Genomic DNA, 18,443 nt, shown 5'->3' with positions numbered 1-18,443 from the left:
TCTAAAAATGTGTAAGTCATGAGGTCATCATGAAGGTCAAATGGCAATGCACTGGAAAGAGTGCTGTAAATTATAAGGGCCATGCAAATGGCGGTAGCCAGACCAGCTGACATTCCTCTTGCCTTGGCTCAGCTGTTCCCTTCCTGCTCTGTGTCCAAATTCTTTCTTTCTCCTTTCTTTCTTTCTCTTTTCTTTCTTTCTTTCTTTCTTTCTTTCTTTCTTTCTTTCTTTCTTTCTTTCTTTCTTTCTTTCTTTCTTTCTTTCCTTTCTTTTCTTTCTTTCTTTCTTTCTTTCTTTCTTTCTTTCTTTCTTTCTTTCCTTCCTTCCTTCCTTCCTTCCTTCCTTCCTTCCTTCTTTCTTTCTTTCTTTCTTTCTTTCTTTCTTTCTTTCCTTCCTTCCTTCCTTCCTTCTTTTCTTTCTTTCTTTCTCTCTCTCTTTCTCCTTCCTTCCTTCCTTCTCCCTCCTCCTCCTCCTTCTTCTTCTTCTTCCTCTTCTTCTTTCCCTCCCTCCCTCCCTGCCTTCCTTTCTCTCTTTCTCTCTCTCTCCTTCTTCTCCCTCTCTCTCTCTCTCCTTCTCTCTCCCTCTCTCTCTCTCTCCTTCTTCTCCCTCTCTCTCTCTCTCCTTCTCTCTCCCTCTCTCTCTCCTTCTCTCTCCCTCTCCTTCTCTCTTTCTTTCTTTTTTTGACAGAGTTTCACTCTTCTTGCCCAGGCTGGAGTGCAATGGCCTGGTCTTGGCTCACTGCAACCTCTGTGTCTTGGGTTCAAGCGATTCTCCTGTCTCAGTCTCCTGAGTAGCTGGGATTACAGGCATGCGGCAACACGCCCAGCTAATTTTTGTATTTTTAGTAGAGATAGGGTTTCACCATGTTGGCCAGGCTGGTCTCGAGCTCCCGACCTCAGGTGATCCGCCCACCTCTGCCTCCCAAAGTGCTGGGATTACAGGCGTGAACCATCGTGGCCTGGGCAAATTCTACCTTTCCCTTGAGAAAAGCAAGAAAACCGAGGAATGCAAGTCCTGTTAAATGATCAGACCCAGAGAGACATTGAAGTGAGCCAGCCCTGGCATCCTCCTTCACCCCCAGCTGCACATTCATCTATTGAAGCTGCCTGCTGCTGCCACAGGTATCTAGAAACTAACCAGTAACACTGCATGGGACACGCTAACCCACACTGATAGCTTCAGAGTGTACAGCCAATCACTAATCAACACTACTTCTATTAACCAATGCTACTTCTATTAACCAATGAGAATTTTCGACAGACAACTTTCTACCAGCCAATCCCTGTCCCTTGTGTTTAAAAACCTGCTTGTACCAAAGGCCAAATAGAGCTCATATCCAAGGTTACTTGGGTCTGAGTCTTCCAGGCAGTTGTCCTAACTTTAGCTCAGGAAACTTTTTTTTTTTTTTTTTGAGACAGAGTCTCGCTCTGTCATCCAAGTTAGAGTATAATGGTGTGATCTCAGCTCACTGCAACCTCTGCCTCCCAGGGTCAGATGATCCTCCTGGCCTCAGTGTCCTGAGTAAATGGGATACTACAGGCATGTGCTACCACTCCTTGCTAATTTTTGTAATTTTCACAGAGACAGGGTATCACTATGTTTCCCAGGCTGATCTTGAACTGGGCTGAAGTGATCCCCCCACCTCGGCTTCCCAAACTGTTGGGATTACAGGCATAAGCCACTGTGCCTGGCCAAGAAAATGCTTTAAATCACATTTTGTCCCTCAATTTCTTCCTTTTAGGTCAACACCGTCACCACTCAACTGATATCTTACTGCTTTTATGAAGCCTTCCTTGATTCCTCCGGCGGGGTGATACCTCTCAGTATCTTCCATGGTATGTTGGTATGTTGCTGGTGCATATTCTGTCATGTGTCATGTTATGTTCTATATGGCAGCCACTTTGTGTGAGAGTTTCATATTCTCTGCTGGTCTGTTGGCTCCTTGAAATTCAGTACTGTAACTTACCGATCCCGCTCTCTCACCCATTACTTAGCTCGGTGTCTCCATGAGAAACAACGCTTTTCTGAGTGTACAACACACCTTCCAGGCCACTCAGCCCAGCCAGCCTCCTTGGCATAGGGCCCAACTTTCAAGGGTTATTTGGAAACTTGGGAAACTTGGGAACTCAATGCTGCCACCAAGGTCTCATTCAAGAGTGTTTCAGGAAGGCTAATAGAGCGTCAGGGTGCAGGTTGGAGCCAGCATGGGCTGACGATAATTGCAGGACAGTAGCCACCATAGATTTGGGCTAAGTGTCAGAATCATTGCAATGGAAAACCTCAAGGAAGAATTTAACGTAATAACCCTCGAGAGAAAGGAATTGTCTAGAATTGGGTTTTTATAGTTGTAGCAGTTATCAGGAATTCTTGATTGACTGCAGGCATTACAGGTAACACCTGTTCCCCTCTATCCACCTCCACCAATATTTGTTTTGTTTTTGAGAGGAGGGAGGAAGTTGTGGAGGGGGAAGCAAGTCTTGTCCTCCCCTTTTCCCCTGTCCCAGAAAAAGCAGAAGATGAGTGGGTGTTAAGGAGTCTCCTTCCCTTGAGCCTATGGAGTCATCATGATCTTTATAGATAGGGGACTGGAGGTTGGTACTATTGATAATGGAAATATTCCAGAAAACTGTGATACTCTGTGTCCAGGCAGAGTTGCTTAAGGCTGGGGAGATAAATGCAGCCCAGAGCAGGGTTGCTGCCTCTTCTACTGCCCTGCCAGGAACCAGGCTTCCAGGGAAAGGAAATGTTGGGAGCATTTAGAGACCGCTGTAGCAGAGGCAACAGATAGGGCTGCAGTGAGGCTATTCCAAGAGACCTTCGCAAGGGTAGCATGAGCAGGTGGGGGCATGAATGGGAGCCCAAGGAAGAAGGAGAGGTTGCACAGATACAGACTGGGTTGTGGGCATCTGAGAAGCTCCTTTTAGAGCTCCCAGAACTTGCAGGGCCACGCTGGGGCACAGAGCCTCTGCTTCTGCTCGGGTGGTAACTGTGGAGCTGGCAAATGTCTGGGTGCCATCTGATTTCCAAAAGGGATTTGATGAGGCTCAGTGGCACAAGAAAAACACCACTTACTGCCAGTAATTGGGACACTCGATTAAAATGTTTTATTTATTTTGATGATCAAAATTCAAATGGAACAAAGGGTAGATAGTGAAAAGTCTGCACCTAATCCCCTCCTTTCTAGACATTGTTTCTTTCCTAGAGGCAATCAGGGTTACATTTTCTATGTATCTTTAGAGATATTCTATCCATGTAAAAGTATATGTATGTGGCTGGGCGTGGTGGCTGACACTTGTCATCCCAGTGCTTTGGAAGGTAGAGTGGGGAGGAATGCTTGAGGCCAGGAGTTCAAGACCAGCCTGGGAAACATAGTGAGAGTCTGTCTCTACAAAAAAAAAAATTTTGTTTTTTAATTAGTTGGGCATGGTGGTGTGTGCCTGTAGTCCCAGCTACTCTGAGGCAGGAGAGTCACTTGAGCTTAGGAAGGCGAGGCTGCGGTTAGCTATGATCATACCACTGCACTCCAGCATGAGTGAGAGTGCAAGAACCTGTCTCTAAGGACAAAAAAAAGTGTATTTTCATTTAGAGATTCTCTTCTCCCCCGACCTTTTTAGTACAGATGACATCAATATGGGATGCATGCTGTCCTGCACTTTACTTTTTCACTTTACAATATATCCTTAAGAGTCTGAATCAAATCCATCCATACCAGGCTATCCTGCCCCTCCACTTTATTTTTTAATTTTTATTTATTTATTTATTTTTTGAGACAGAGTCTCACTGTGTCGCTAGGCTGGAGTGCTGTGACGCGATCTCGGCTCACCGCAACCTGTGCCTCTCTGGTTCAAGCAATTTTCCAGCCTCAGCCTCCCGAGTAGCTGGGACTACAGGAGTGCGCCACCACGCCCAACTGGTTTTTGTATTTTTAGTAGAGCCGGGGTTGCACCACGTTGGCCAGGAAGATCTCGATCTCTTGACCTCGTGATCCGCCCACCTCGGCCTCCCAAAGTGCTGGGATTACAGGCGTGAGCCACCGTGCCCGGCCCACCACTTTATTTTTTGCAGTTGTATAGTATTCCATTGTATGGATGTCCCATGACTTGTTTAAGCAGTGTCCTCTATTAATAAACATTTAGGTGTTTCCCCAAACCTTGCTATGATAAATAATGCTACCGTTAACAACCTTGTATGTATATTATCCACATATATGTGAGAATGCATTTGTTTGGCAATTTCTTGCAAGTAGGATTGCTGGGTCAAAGGTGTGTACCGTTGCATTTTGTATGAATATTGCCAAATCACACTCTAGAGAGGTTGCACTAATTAATCTCTACCTATCTTAAAGGTGAAAAACTGTAGATAATAGAATTTTAAGTTAGCTTTTCTCTTATTATGAATAAGGTTGAGTACACTGCCCGATGTTGTAATCCATTTTTAATTTCATTTCTGTGAGCTGTCTTGTTTATGTCCTTTCCCATTTTTCTGTTGGAATTTGGTCTTTTAATTTTGCAGTGCTATTTGTATGTTAGGGAAATCTGAATTGCACATTTTTTCATCAATTTATTGTTTTTTATAGGTCATTTTGAATAACTTAGTGCAACATAGTATTGACCTAGTTTAGATGCTTTGTTTACTTAAAAAGTATAAAATCATATATTGAAAAAGAATGCTGTGCAAATTAAAGGTTTACTATTACTGAGTCTTCTGTCTTCAGATGCAGAGCATCCTAATGAATAAGAATTGAAATAGTCAAGAAACACTGAACACAGCCTTTGGTGCTGTGAGTAACACAAACAAGTAAATTTCAAAATCCATCATTGAGTAAGTCAGAAGTGATGGAGGCCTGGCTCATGCCTATAATCCCAGCACTTTGGGAGGCTGAGGCAGAAGGATCACTTAACATCAGGAGTTCTAGACTAGCCTGGGCAAAATAACAAGACCTCATCTCTACAAAAATAAGTTTAAGAAAATTAGTGAGGTGTGGTGGTGCCCATCTGTAGTCCTAGCTACTTGGGAGGCTGAAGTGGAAGGATGGCTTGGGCCCAGGAATTTGAGGCTGCAGTGAGCTGTGATCACACCACTGCACTCTAGCCTGAGCCAGAGTGAGACATTGTCTTAAAAAAAAGTGATGGATCAATAAAATGTTGGAAAGTGGAGACAGGGTGTGGGCACATGTGTTTGGGCAGAGTGAGGATGGGAATGGGAACCCCTTTGCCTGCAGGAGAATGCTGCATAAAGCAGGCATGTTCAGATGTCCTATGGGGGAAAAAGAAAAGAGGCAGTGCAGCGACCTAGGAAGTGTGCAGGCCACCAGGCAAGGGCTTAAAGAGGTCATGTCAGCAAGTACTAGCCCAGTGCTACTAAAGGAGTCAAGGCCTAGATGAGCTGGCCTTCTCACCAATAAACTCCCATTGCCTCTTCTGTGGCTAGGGTCATAAATACATCTGTGGCTTCTCTTGCTATCCCATGTCCAACCCATTGTTCAGGGCACCTGAATGAGGCTTCTAGCACCCCTGAATGAGCACCAAAGACATAGGTCTAAGTCAGCCTGGAGGGAGGTGGTGCAACTTCAGGCCACCCCATCTCCCTCTTCAGTTCCTTCTGTTACAAATGCCAGAAACAAGGGGAAAGCAAACCAAACAATTTGTTTTCCCTTAAAGAACAAGACTAGCTGGTGAAGCTCAGGCCTGCTGGGCATGGTGGGATAAGATACTGACAGAGTTATCAAGGAAGCCAAAGCCAAAGACAGCACCAAGATGCATTATCTATGGCAGTTGCAGTCAACCAGCCATTTTTGATAGCTATTAACATTGTAATACACTTTTCTGTTGATTAGATTGGTTAGGCCATTTGACCTGTTCTAGCCCTGCAGAATTTCTGCGGCCAGACCTAAAATGCTGGAAATCTGCTCTCTGGTAAGGTCTAGGCATGCATCCTTGCCAGTTCCTTTCTGTATTTCCTAGGCTTCTTGTCCAGGTTTCACAAACTTGGATACACATAACAGATCGAATTCCAGCTTGGATGCATGGAGTATTGGAACAGTCAAAACCTTCAAGTGTGGTCTCAAGATCATTAACAAACAAGTCATTTCCATAACATGATAGTAGCTTACTAATTGCCTCCTTATGCCATAAACTGTGCATATATGTTCTTTCTAAGTCTCTCGATTGTCCAAGGTAGGTATGACATTCTTTACTTTATATTTTTATAGATGAAGCAACCTTAACTCAGAAGGGTTAATTACCTAAGGTCATATGGCTAGTATGCAATTAGCTAGAACTGGGATTTGAACCCAGTTCTGTGTAAACCCAAGGCCTGAACACTTGCTACTTCCCCTTGCTACATTCTCCATTGCCATGATGAGGCCAAGGTTTCTTTTCTAAACTACCAGATGTAGAGCTCCATAACATCTCAGGATTGTGTCAACTCTCAAATCCCATAATACTAGGTATTGATCTCAATGATCAACATTGTTCTTAAGATTCTGACAACTATACGAAAGAGAATAATTACCTGCTCAATGCAACTGGAGAGCAGTTACACACACACACACACACACACACACACACACACACACACTCCTATGATGAATTACTAGACCATAGATTAGAGATGATAAGGACATTTAAAGTACATGTAGTCACATGGTACAATAAGCCAAAATCATTGGGGAAGGCTTTCTGAAGGAGAGAATTTCTGTTTTAGACCTCAAAAGGTGATTAGAATTTTGAGAGGTAAAAGAAAGAAGAGGCTGGCTTTGCTTTCTGGCCATGTGGTGGACTAGATGTCCTAGAAAAACTCCCCACTCAATATGGCTAAACTCGCAGGATACAAAATTCCTTTGAAATGCATCACTGAGTTTGCAAAAAGGTGAGAGTATTTCCCAAGGGCTAAAAACAAAGAGAGTTGCTAGTGCTTTTGGTGGTCCTGGTTGTCCAGAGCAAGGGTTGGAAATCATTTTCTGTACAGGGCCAGATAGTAAATATTTTTGGCTTTACGAGCCCAGATGGTCTCTGTTCAAACTACTCATCTCTGCCTCTGTGGCATAAACGCAGCCACAGACAATACATAAGCAAAAGGGCGTGGGAAGACTTGCCTAGCTGTGAGCTCAGTTTGGCCCATGAGTTATGCTTTGCTGATCTCTGATCTAGGGTCTTGGGTTTTAATGCCTTCTGTGGATCTTCTGTTTTGGGGCCCACACAAGGTGAGAAGATTGAACTGAGACAACCCTCACATGTGTAAAACAGGATTCCTGGGGCAGTGTGGACTAGATGAATGAGGCCCCTGGCAAGGGAAGACAGATAGGGATACTTGCTTTATGAAGTGCGACTCTGGTGAAAAAAAGAAATTTGAATTTGTTACTATAGTTAGGCCTACTGCTATGGTTTGAATGTGTCCCCTCCAAAATTCAAATGTTGTCAATGTGATATTATTAAGAGATGGAACCTTTGAGAGGTGATTAGATAATTAGACCATGCAGGCTCCTCCCTTGTGAATGGGATTAAGCCTGTTTAAAATAAAGCTTCATGCCACATTTGGTTGGCTAGTCCTCCAGCTCTTCTGCCGCGTGAGGACAGTGTGCCAGCCTTCTGGAGGATGCAGCCTCACCAGACAATCAAACCAGCTGGCACCTGGATCTTAGACTTTCCAGCCTCCAGAACTGTGAGGAATAATCATCTATTCATTATACATCACCCAGTCTCAGGTATTTGTTGTTGCAGCACAGACAGACCAAGACACTTACCCTCACACATGCTTGAGGTTTGGATTTGTACTAACTGCATTGTACAGGAAACTTCAAGCTATGCAATTAACTTAAAGTGGTTATTTAAGTGGTAGTGCCTCAGGGACCTTAGAAAACATGAGTTCATAATCCAAAATCACACGCCACACAAAGGAATAAGCCACCGGGAGCAAGAGTCAGCAGAAACAACAAATGGCAGAATTATTCTTTCAAGGATTGTGGGCATTGTAATGATTTTGTTACAAAAAATGTTTAAAGAAGTAAAAGGGAAAATGAAAAAGATAGAGGATATTTCAGGGAAAGAGAGGAAGAGACATAAAAAGTCAATGGTGGGGATGAGAACATGTTAAGGGGCAAGAAGGAAATAGTCCAAGATAGGGGCCATGTGATGGTATTAGTGAATGAATGAACATTGATTAAACTCATAGTGCACACCAGCACTTGGCTAGGTACTAATGGTAGAGATGGGTAAGAGTATAGGATTGCCCTCAAGGAAGTTCCAGTCTAGGAGAAGAATCAGATAATCAGGTAAATGAATAAATGCCATAAACTGTAATGGGTTCTATAACTAAACATAACAGAGGCAGAGGAAGAAGTTGCCCATTCTACTCAAGGAATTCAGGGCAGTTTCTTGGAGGATTTTATGCTTGAATCAAGTTCTGAAGGGTCTGTAGGAAACTAGACTTTAAGGTATGGGTTACGGAGAACTTGAATAGTTTTAAGGAGGGAAGTAAAATGATCAGACTTATAATTAAAAAAAATACCGATGACTGCAGTACAGTGAATAAAATGGAGAATGAAACAATGGGAGACCAGATATGACATTGTTTCAATAGTCATGAAAAGAAGCCACGAAGCCCTCCTATAAGGCAGCGGTGTAGGTGCACTTGAGAGTTATTTTAGAATTTTGTTCATTTGGGAATTACAAAAAGTAACGATGCACATTTACTGGCTGTAGCTCTACTTCTGGTGCTGTGTGATGGTTAATTTTAGGTGTCAGCTTGACTGGATTAAGGAATACCTAAAGAGCTGGTAAAGCAGCACTTCTGGGTGTATCTGTGGGGTGCTTCCAGAGGAGGCTGGTGTGTGAGGTGGTGGACTGAGTGCTTATCAGCTGGGGGCCTCAATAGCACAAAAAAAGACAGAAAAAGATTTCCTCATTCTCTCCTGGAACTGGACACTCTCCTCCTCCTGCTCTTGATCAGAACTCCAGGTTCTCCATGACTTGCACCAGCTGTCTTGTGGGCTCTCAGGCCTTTGATCTCAGACAGAGCGACACCATCAGCTTCCCTTGGCTCTGAAGCTTTCAGACTTGGACTGAGCCATGCTCCCAGCATCTCAGGGTCTCCAGCTTGTGGATGGTCTGTCATGGGACTTCTCAGCCTCCATAAATTCGTGAGCCAATTCCCCTAATAAATCCCCTTTCATCTATGTGTGTATGCATGTATGTTTGTATCTATCTATCTATCTATCATCTATCTCTATCATCTCTTGATCGATCTATCAATCTATCATCTATTATTGACCTATCATCTATCTGTTGTCTATCATCTATCTGTGTATTATCTATCTATCAATCTATTACATACGCATCATTTATCTCTCTCCTATTGGTTCTGTCTCTCTGGAGAACCCTGACTAATACAATCTGTAACCTTACACCTCCCCCTCCCAAGTGTTCCCAGGAGTCTCAGGGTTGTCTTGAAAATGCTCGTGACTGAGGTCAGGAGATTGAGACCATCCTGGCTAACATGGTGAAACCCTGTCTCTACTAAAAATACAAAAAAATAGCCGGGGGTGGTGGCGGGAGCCTGTAGTCCCAGCTACTGGGGAGGCTGAGGCAGGAGAATGGTGTGAACCCAGGAGGCGGAGCTTGCAGTGAGCGGAGATCATGCCAGTGTATTCTAGCCTGGGCGAGAGAGCGAGACTCCATCTCAAAAAAAAAAAAAAAAAAGCTTGTGACTGAGTGCCCACCTCCCACCTTGTTTCCCCCATGTCCTGCCCGGTGTTTCTACCACCCCCAGCTGTGGTGCTGCGGCTGAGACAGGGTGGAGGGTGAGAGTCTCTTCCTTCTCTTTGTTGTTAAGTGTCCTGAAGGAGTTCTGCTTGTTCCCTAATGATTACCAAGCTTACCAGCCATAAAGTGGTTCTTTGTGTTGTCCCTTATTGACTCCCTACACTCCACAAGATCAGGAAGTCAGTGGGGAGGAAGTCTAGTTGCCCGTGCCCCTCACTTCTGACAGCCCAGCGCATCGTGCTGGTTCCTTCTAACCTCAGGGCAGCCTGCGGGACCCATAGCAGGGGTAAGAGGGAGGGACAGGTTTGGCTCTCCCAGGATGTTACTTAGCCCTCATCCCAGGGTGTTATTTAGCCATCTCCCAGGATGTTACTTAGCTTCTGGCAAAGGTCACTACTAATTTGCTGGAAACACCTGCCCTGAGACCCAAGGGGGCCATCCATGCAAAGGTGAGACCCAGAGCTATGAGTCACCAATGGGAGATAGAATGGAGGCAGGGAGGAGGTGGGAAGATTTACGGGCGTAACAGGGAAGATCATGGAACAGATCAGGCAAGGCCTTCAGTGCCTGCCTAGTGAGTCTGTTCTTCCCTGTAAACCAGTGTTTCTCCAAGCGTGGACTGGTATATATCAGCCTCTGAGTCACATGAGAGCTGGCTCAAAATTTCAATTTTAAGACCTATCTGAATCAGGACCACTGATGAGTGGGTTTGGGAGACTTGCATTATTTATTTATTTTTACTTTTTTTTTGAGGTGGAGTCTCTCTTTGTCGCCCAGGCTGGAGTGCAGTGGCACGATCTCAGCTCACTGCAGGGAGACTTGCATTTTTAACTGCTGATCCCTAGGTGGTAGTTGAAGAATCCACACACATTTCTATAATAATTGGGTCCATATGTCATCTCTTTAGGCAAACTGAAGGCTCCTGAGTGTAGGTGCTGCCTCTAAAGCCCCTCTTATCTCTCCTACAAGTGCAAGCACACAGTCGGTATACACTGTCTATTTATCGAAGCTGAGCGAAAGAGGAAATGCTGAAAACAGAATGATTGTGGTTTAAACTGCTCCTTCCAACAGTGAAACATTTAGATAGTTATTCATTTATTTATTGCTTTTTTGAGACAGGGTCTCACTCTGTCTCTCAGGCTGGAGTGCAGTGGTGTGATCACAGCTCACTGCAGCCTCAACCTCCTGGGTTCAAGCCCTCCTCCCACATCAACCTCCATGGTAGCTGGGACTATAGGTGCATGCCACCATGTCTGGCTAATTTAAAAATATTTTTTGGGCTGGGCACAGTGGCTCACGCCTGTAATCCCAGCACTGTGGGAGGCCGAGGCAGGCAGGTCACCTGAGGTCAGATGTTGGAGACCGGCCTGGCCAACATGGTGAAACCCCTTCTCTACTAAAAATACAAAAATTAGCGGGGCATGGTGGTGCATGCCTGTAATCCCAGCTACACAGGAGGCAAAGGCAGGAGAATTGCTTGAACCCGGGAGGTGGATGTTGCAGTGAGCTGAGATTGTGCCATTTCTCTCCAGCCTGGGAGGCAAAGCGAGATTCCATCTCAAAAAAATTTTTTTTTTTTGTAGAGATGGTGATATAGTTTGGATATTTGTCCCTGCCCAAATCTCATGTTGAATTGTAATCTCCAGTGCTGGAGGTGGGGCCTGGTGGGAGGTGTTTGGATCATGGGGGTGGATCCCTCCTGGCTTGGTGCTGTCCTCATGATAGCAAGCTCTCGTGAGATCTGGTCATTTAAAAGTGCATGGCAGCTCCCCTCACGCCATTCTTCTCGTTTGCTCCTGCTTTTTTTTTTTTTTTCCGAGATGGAGTCTCGCTCTGTTGCCCAGGCTGGGGTGCAGTGGTGTGATCTCTGCTTACTGCAACCTTTGCCTCCCAGGTTCAAGCGATTCTCCTGCCTCAGTCTCCCGAGTAGCTGGGATTACAGGCGCCTACCACCACACCCAGCTAATTTTTGCATTTTTAGTAGAGATGGGGTTTCACCATATTGGCCAGGCTGGTCTTGAACTCCTGACCTCGTGATCCACCTGCCTTGGTCTCCCAAAGTGCTGGGATTACAGGTGTGAGCCACCGCACCCAGCCTGCTTCTGCTTTTGTCACGTAACATGCCTGCTCCCACTTCACCTTCTGCCACTAGCAAAAGCTTCCTGAGGCCTTCGAGAAGCAGATGCTGGCACTATGTCTCCTGGGCAGCCTGCAGAACCCTGAGCCACTAGACCTTTTTACTTATAAATTACCCACTCTCAGGTATTTGTTGATAGCAATGCAAGAACTGCCTAATATAGATGGGATTTCACTGTGTTGCCCAGGCTGATCTTGAACTCCTGGGCTCAAGTGATCCTCCCACCCCGGCCTCCCAAAGTGCTGGGATTACAGGCATGAGCCACAAAACCTGGCCTTTATTTCGTTTTTATTCTATAAATACTTAGTGCCATTTCCAGGCAGGCGCTGTGCTAGGTGTTGAATCTCAAGAGACTTTCAGTGAGAGAGGCTGGGGCGCCTGGGGTGGAGAAGGGTGCCAAGGGTACCATGTGAGTGAGGTGGGGTGTGGCCAACTAGGCTGCACAGAAGAAAATGCTGTCTGCAGAGCAGTGAAAGTGAACAGCTCTAAGAGGTTTTCCTTGGGATGAATTACAATTTGTACGTTGTTCTCTCTTCCCAGATGAAGAAAGACATCTCAATTTCCCTCTGAATCTCCAGCTTCAGGGCATGGTGGGCCATTTGAAGACTTCTGGAGTCAAGAGATAAAGGGAAGCATTAGTTCCATTGGGTCCTGTTTGATCTTTATACCATCAACACGGAGCTCAGAGCTTCCCTGCTTCCCTTTCGCTCCTCAAGGTCACCAGAAGGACGTGGGCTTTTTGATGTTCAAAGAAAGTCTGAAAGCCTCGCCTGGTCTTCTGAGCCTGAGCGTGCTGTTGGCAGGCTCTTCTGAATCAAGTTGGGGCAGAGGAGGATTCCTCGTCTCTTTCTGAGGCAGATCCCACAGTCGTTAGGAGCTGGATGAGCACGTTCTTTAATAGATTTCCTTTTTATTTTTCTGGGTCTCATCTGAAATTTTTGACCCTTGCACGTCTCCATTCTCTCAACCTTCTTTCTGACCAGAAAATTCCTTCTGTAATTTTGGCTACACAAGAGTATCAAGGAATGCTTAGGGGGCAAACAGAGTACTTCGAGAACAGCATGCATTCGGGCCAAGCTCCCAAGGCCATGCTGAGCATACGTCTCCAGCTCACAGCTTCGGGAAGCTGAGAGGAACAGAGGTCCTCAATCTCAGAAAGAAATAAAAGCAGATCAGGGAATCACCTCTCCCTTTTCCCTTAGTGAAATATTTTAATGAGTTTTGAGGCTGTCTCTGTGTGTATGAAATGCCAGGAGTCTGCATCTCAGCTGTTATGACCAGAGGTCTTCTCTTGGGTGCTGGTGAGGACTGAGGACTAGCTGGCTTCAGGAAAGCTGCTTCAGCTGCTTTTCCTGCCAGCCACACAGCAGGAACAAGAAACAACTTTGGCTGGGCATGGTGGCTCACGCCTGTAATCCCAGCACTTTGGGAAGCCGAGCCAGGAGGATCAGGAGGTCAGGAGTTCAAGACCAGCCTGGCCATCATAGTGAAACCCCATCTCTACTAAAAATACAAAAAATTACCTGGGCCTGGTGGCGGGCGCCTGTAATCCCAGCTACTCGGGAGGCCGAGGCAGGAGAATCACTTGAAGCCAGGAGGCGGAGGTTTCAGTAAGCAGAGATCACACCACTGCACTCCAGCCTGGATGACAGTGCGAGACTCCATTTCAAAAGAGAAAAAAAAGAAAAAGAAAAAGAAAAAGAAACAACTTTGCAGTTGTTTTTTTGCAGTTGTTGCACTGAGAGGAGTAGGAGGTAAGAGAGAGAGGGGGCATGTGTTAGTTTGCCTGCTGTCACTCAGTGACTTGGAGGAATGGAGATTTAGGTCAAGGATACATTTCCAAGAAGGGAGACAATATGTCACAGTATCCCCAGAACGAGCCATGGGGCTGGGCTCAGAGACATGGGAGCATAGCTTGGGAACTTAAAGACACAACTCAAGTCACTAGGTTCTCTGACTCCCTCCGTCCCAGCCTCTGCATTTATTGGTCCCTTACAATTATGGTGACTCAGAATGTCTCAGTTTCTACTTCTAGCACTCAGGACACAGCTCACTGGTGATCTGATTCTCCACCCTTTGCATATGTTTGTTTCTGTTGCTCTGATCTTTGGCTTACTCATGGCGTCTACCTACTTTTGGGCCTTCATGGCCTGTCTTCCTTCTGTGTGATTTTCAGTACTCTTTGGCTCCCACTCCCACAATTAGCTGTTGATTCTTTTTTCCTGTACCTTCTGTTTAAGTTCAATAGAAAGATAATTTGATTGGTTGGAGTGAATCATCACTAGCCTTCCTGCTCTTTGGTTATGAGGTACTTCATAGGTCCAACCTATAGAGTTGGTCAACCTTGGGGCAGGAGCTCGCCCTAACTCCAACCAGCTTGGCCAGAGGCACCAACACGCTGGTCAAAGCAGGACAGCACATAGAAGATTTGAGAAATGATCTGCTTAATGCAATGGGTTTTAGGGGATGACAGTTCTTTCACTTTGTAGCTGTGTGGCCTTGGGTGACTTCTTTAATTTTTCTGAGCTTATTTCTTTGCCTGTAAAAATGTGGATGAAGGTACTATCTTGCAGTGATGTGTGGATTAGAGGTAAATTATCTAAAGTATCTAATAAACAGTGTGTGCTCAGGTGCTTCATAAATACTTTTTATTATGACGCTGCTGCATTGGTCTGCCTGAGTCTGGATTTTGCATGTTGCTCTGACATAATTTTGGTGGCAGGAGCCCATATTTTGATTCAGATCCCATGATTCCAAAAACACTATCTTTGGTGGTAAAAATAAGAATCAAGTAAGTGCAGAGGGCATCGCTAAGAAACACTGAGGATATATTCCTGATTACGTTTTAAGGTCACCGCAAAGTCTGGCTGGAAATAAAAGGCAAGATTCGGGATGCTTCCTCTTCAGTCATTGAACAAGCGTGACTCCAGTTGAATCTGAAATGAGACAGCAGTCAAGGTTTCTTGGCTCATCTCTTTCAACAATTCATTTAAGAATAGCTGCAATACCTTTGAAGTAAGACTATTTGAGTAAGACTTTTAAGAAACAGTGGTGACAGTTTAGAGATACGTGAATGAGAAAAATGCGCATTCACCATGAGAAACCCTGATGTCTGGTTATCAATGATTTGCAATTAATGGACACAGCAGAAGCTGCAATCAACCCTGATCAGAGCCATCTGGAGAAGAAGCAGAACAAAACTAGGACATTCTCCCCCAGCTATGACCCCTGACAGAGAAATTAGTGATTGCTCACAGGCTTCTCGATCGATCACTCCCCTTGGCTAGCTTAGCATATGCTCCACTCTTCCACCTCCTTCTGGATTTCAGGTTTAATTCCCAGCTACCAGACAGAGCTTCTAGCCAACTCTTCCATGTGAAGGATTCCGAGGTAAGCTACATACAGTAGAGCCAAGCCTTCTTAATATAAACATGATTCTTCATAGAGTCCTTTGTAGCCAGATAGCTGATGTTGATCACTTATGAATGGCTTCTTTTGAATTTATTTCTTCAAGTATGTTTTCTACCCCTTCCTCTTTCTCCTTCTGGGAATCCCATGATATGTATGTTGGTACACTTGATGGTGTCCCACAGGTATGAGACTCTGTTAATTTGTCTTCATTCTTTTCTCTTTTTATTTCTCAGAGTGGATTCTCTCCGCTGACTTATCTTCAAGTTAGCTGATTCTTTCTTCTGCCAGGTCAAATCTGCTGTTGAACCTCTGTAATGAATTTTCCATTTCAGTTATGCAGTTATTTTACTTTTTGACATCAGAACTTCTATTTGGTTCTTTCAAAAATTTCCATGTCTTTATTGATGATCTCTGGTGAGACATCATTCTCATACTTTCTTTTAATTTTTTTTTTTTTGAGATGGAGTCTCGCTCTGTCGTCCAGGCTGGAGTGCAGTGGTGCGATCTCACTCACTGCAATCTCCGCCTCCCGGGTTCAAGCAATTATCCTGCTTCAGCCTTCTGGGTAGGTGGGACTACAGGCACACGCCACCACGCCAGCTAATTTTTGTATTTTTAGTAGAAACAAGGCTTCACGATGTTGGCCAGGATGGTCTTAAACTCCTGACCTTGTGATCGATCCACCTTGGCTTCCCAAAGTGCTGGTCCTTTAATTCTTCAGAAACTGTTTCCTTTAGTTCTTTGGACATATTTATAATGTCTGATTTAAAGACTTGGACTTTTTTTTTTTTTTTTGAGATGGAGTCTTGCTCTGTCGCCTAGACAGGAGTACAGTTGCATAATCTCAGCTCACTGCACTTCTGCCTTCCAGGTTCAAGCTATTCTCATGCCTCAGCCTCCTGAGTACCTGGGTTTACCCGTGTGTGCCACCGTGACTGGCTATTTTTTTTTGTATTTTTAGTAGAGACAAGGTTTCACCATGTTGACCAGACTGGTCTCGAACTCCTGACCTCAAGTGATCTGCCCACTTTGGTTTCCCAAAATGCTGGGATTACAGGCGTGAGCCACTGCACCCAGCCTAAAGTCTTTGACTATTAAGTGACATTTCTGGTGTTCCTCAGGAACAGAACAGTTTCTTTCTTTCTCTCTTTTTGGAGACAGAGTCTCGCTCTTGTTGCCCAGGCTGGAGTGCAGTGGCGCAATCTCAGCTCACTGTAACCTCCACCTCCCGGGTTCAAGCAATTCTCCTGTCTCAGCCTCCCGAGTACGTGGGATTATAGGTGCACGCCACCATGCTTGGCTAATTTTTGTATTTTTAGTGGAGACAGGGTTTCACCATGTTGGCCAGGCTGGTCTCGAACTCCTGACCTCAAGTGATCTGCCCGCCTTGGCCTCCCAAAGTGCTGGGATTACAAATGTGAGCCACCGTGCCCAGCCAGGAACAGTTTTCTATTGACTGCTTTCTTTCCTTTGTGTATGGGTCATATTTTCATATTTATTTGCATTTTTTGTACTTTGTTACTGAGAACTGGGTATTTTAGATAATACAATGTGGTGACTGTGGAAATCAGACTCACTCCCCTTCTAACACTTTGCTGCTGCTGTTTTTTGTTATTGTTGTTTGTTTAGTGACTCTTTATGTTAATTCTGTAAAGTCTATGTATTAGTCTTGGTTCTCCAGAGAAACAGAATCGATAGGGGACATTTGTTCTGCATGTATCCCAAAGGGAATCCTTTACAGGTTAGTTTCTGTTTCTCTAGTTCATTCATTCTCCCTAATAATCACTTACTAGAAGCTTCTATACCACATTGAGAGGTTGGAGGTAACTACTCTGTGTTTCTCTCCTGTGCACATTGATAAATTTGTATACCAGCCGGGTGCAGTGCCTGTAATCCCAGCACATTGGGAGGCTGAGGTGGTGGGATTGCTTGAGCCCAAGAGTTCGAGACCAGCTTGAGTAACACAGGAACACACTGTCTCTACAGATAATAATTTAAAAATTAGTTGGGTGTGGTGGCACATGCCTGTGGTTCTGGCTACTCGGGAGGCTGAGGTGGGAGGATTGCTTGAGCCCAGGAGTTTGAAGCTGCAGTGAGCTCTAATCTCACTCGCAGAGCAAGCTCTCTTTAAAAAAAAAAAAATTATATGCTTTCTTTCTTACTAATCTCCTTTTTGTCAGTTGATTTTTCATTAAAACTTCAGAGCACAAAGGGAAAGTTTTCCCTTGACCCCGTTGACCTAAAGGAAAACATCCAGACAAACTTAGTATGTGTAGAAAATTTATTTGGGTGAGGTTTGAGGACTGCAACCCATGAGTGCAGATTCAAGTTGCCCTGAATGTATGTTCCCATCAGCAGCAGTTATAAGTAGTTCTTATAGGAAAAGAAGAGGCAGTTCATAAGTCATTTACCAAGAATTTACATTAAAATAAAATAAGCTATTGATTGGCTGCATATTGTTCTCTGTATCACAAATTCCAGGAATATGAAGATGATGGATAAGGAGCCAGTCAGGAACAAAATGCCTTTGAACAGTTGCTTCTGTCTGGGCATGAGTGCAGTAGTGGGGGCTAGGGTATGCCTACAGTGCTGCTGGATTTGTGTCTTTCTGGGCCTGATATGTTTTGCCAGCCTTGCATAACTCATACAGCTGTGAGGTGTTTTTCTTTTCTGAGTCCCTACAATACCAAAACAAGATCACAATATAAGAAAGAAAATTGTGGCCAACCTCACTTGGCAATATAGATGTAAAAATTCTAAGTAAAATGTATTAAAAATATGTCTTAAATATCTTGTCTATCCTAGAATGCAGGGAGGGATGAACATTTTCAAATCTCTTAGTGTAATTTACATGAACAGATGAAATAAGCAAAGTTATGTGCTCAGGCTGCCACAACAAAAGACCACAGACTGGATGGCATCAGCAACAGAAATTTATTTCCTCACAGTTCTGGAGTCTGGAGGCTTAAGAGGAAGGTGTTGGCAGGTTTGTCTTCTCCCGAGGCCTCTCTTCTTGGTTTGCAGACGGCCGCCTTCTCACTGCCTCTTCGCATGAGCATCCGTGTGTGCACATATAACCCCACTGTCCCCTGCAAATCTTGATCATCTTTTCTTATAACGATACCATCTAGGGT

At 44.6% G+C, this 18,443-nt stretch overlaps 1 long non-coding RNA gene across 1 annotated transcript; it reads left to right on the top strand.

Moving 5' to 3' along the window:
* Positions 1 to 918: 918 nt before the first annotated feature.
* On the top strand, positions 919 to 13,344 carry LOC105379771 (uncharacterized). Its single transcript, XR_001745706.1, has 3 exons — positions 919 to 1,121; positions 1,742 to 1,835; positions 12,439 to 13,344. It is a non-coding gene; the product is annotated as an uncharacterized LOC105379771 (long non-coding RNA).
* Positions 13,345 to 18,443: the final 5,099 nt, after the last annotated feature.

Source organism: Homo sapiens, chromosome 8 (genome assembly GCF_000001405.40).
Source record: "Homo sapiens chromosome 8, GRCh38.p14 Primary Assembly".
NCBI classification, from domain to species: Eukaryota; Metazoa; Chordata; class Mammalia; order Primates; family Hominidae; genus Homo; species Homo sapiens.
Note: the sequence above shows the minus strand (reverse complement) of the source record. Positions and strands in the feature narration are given on the sequence as shown.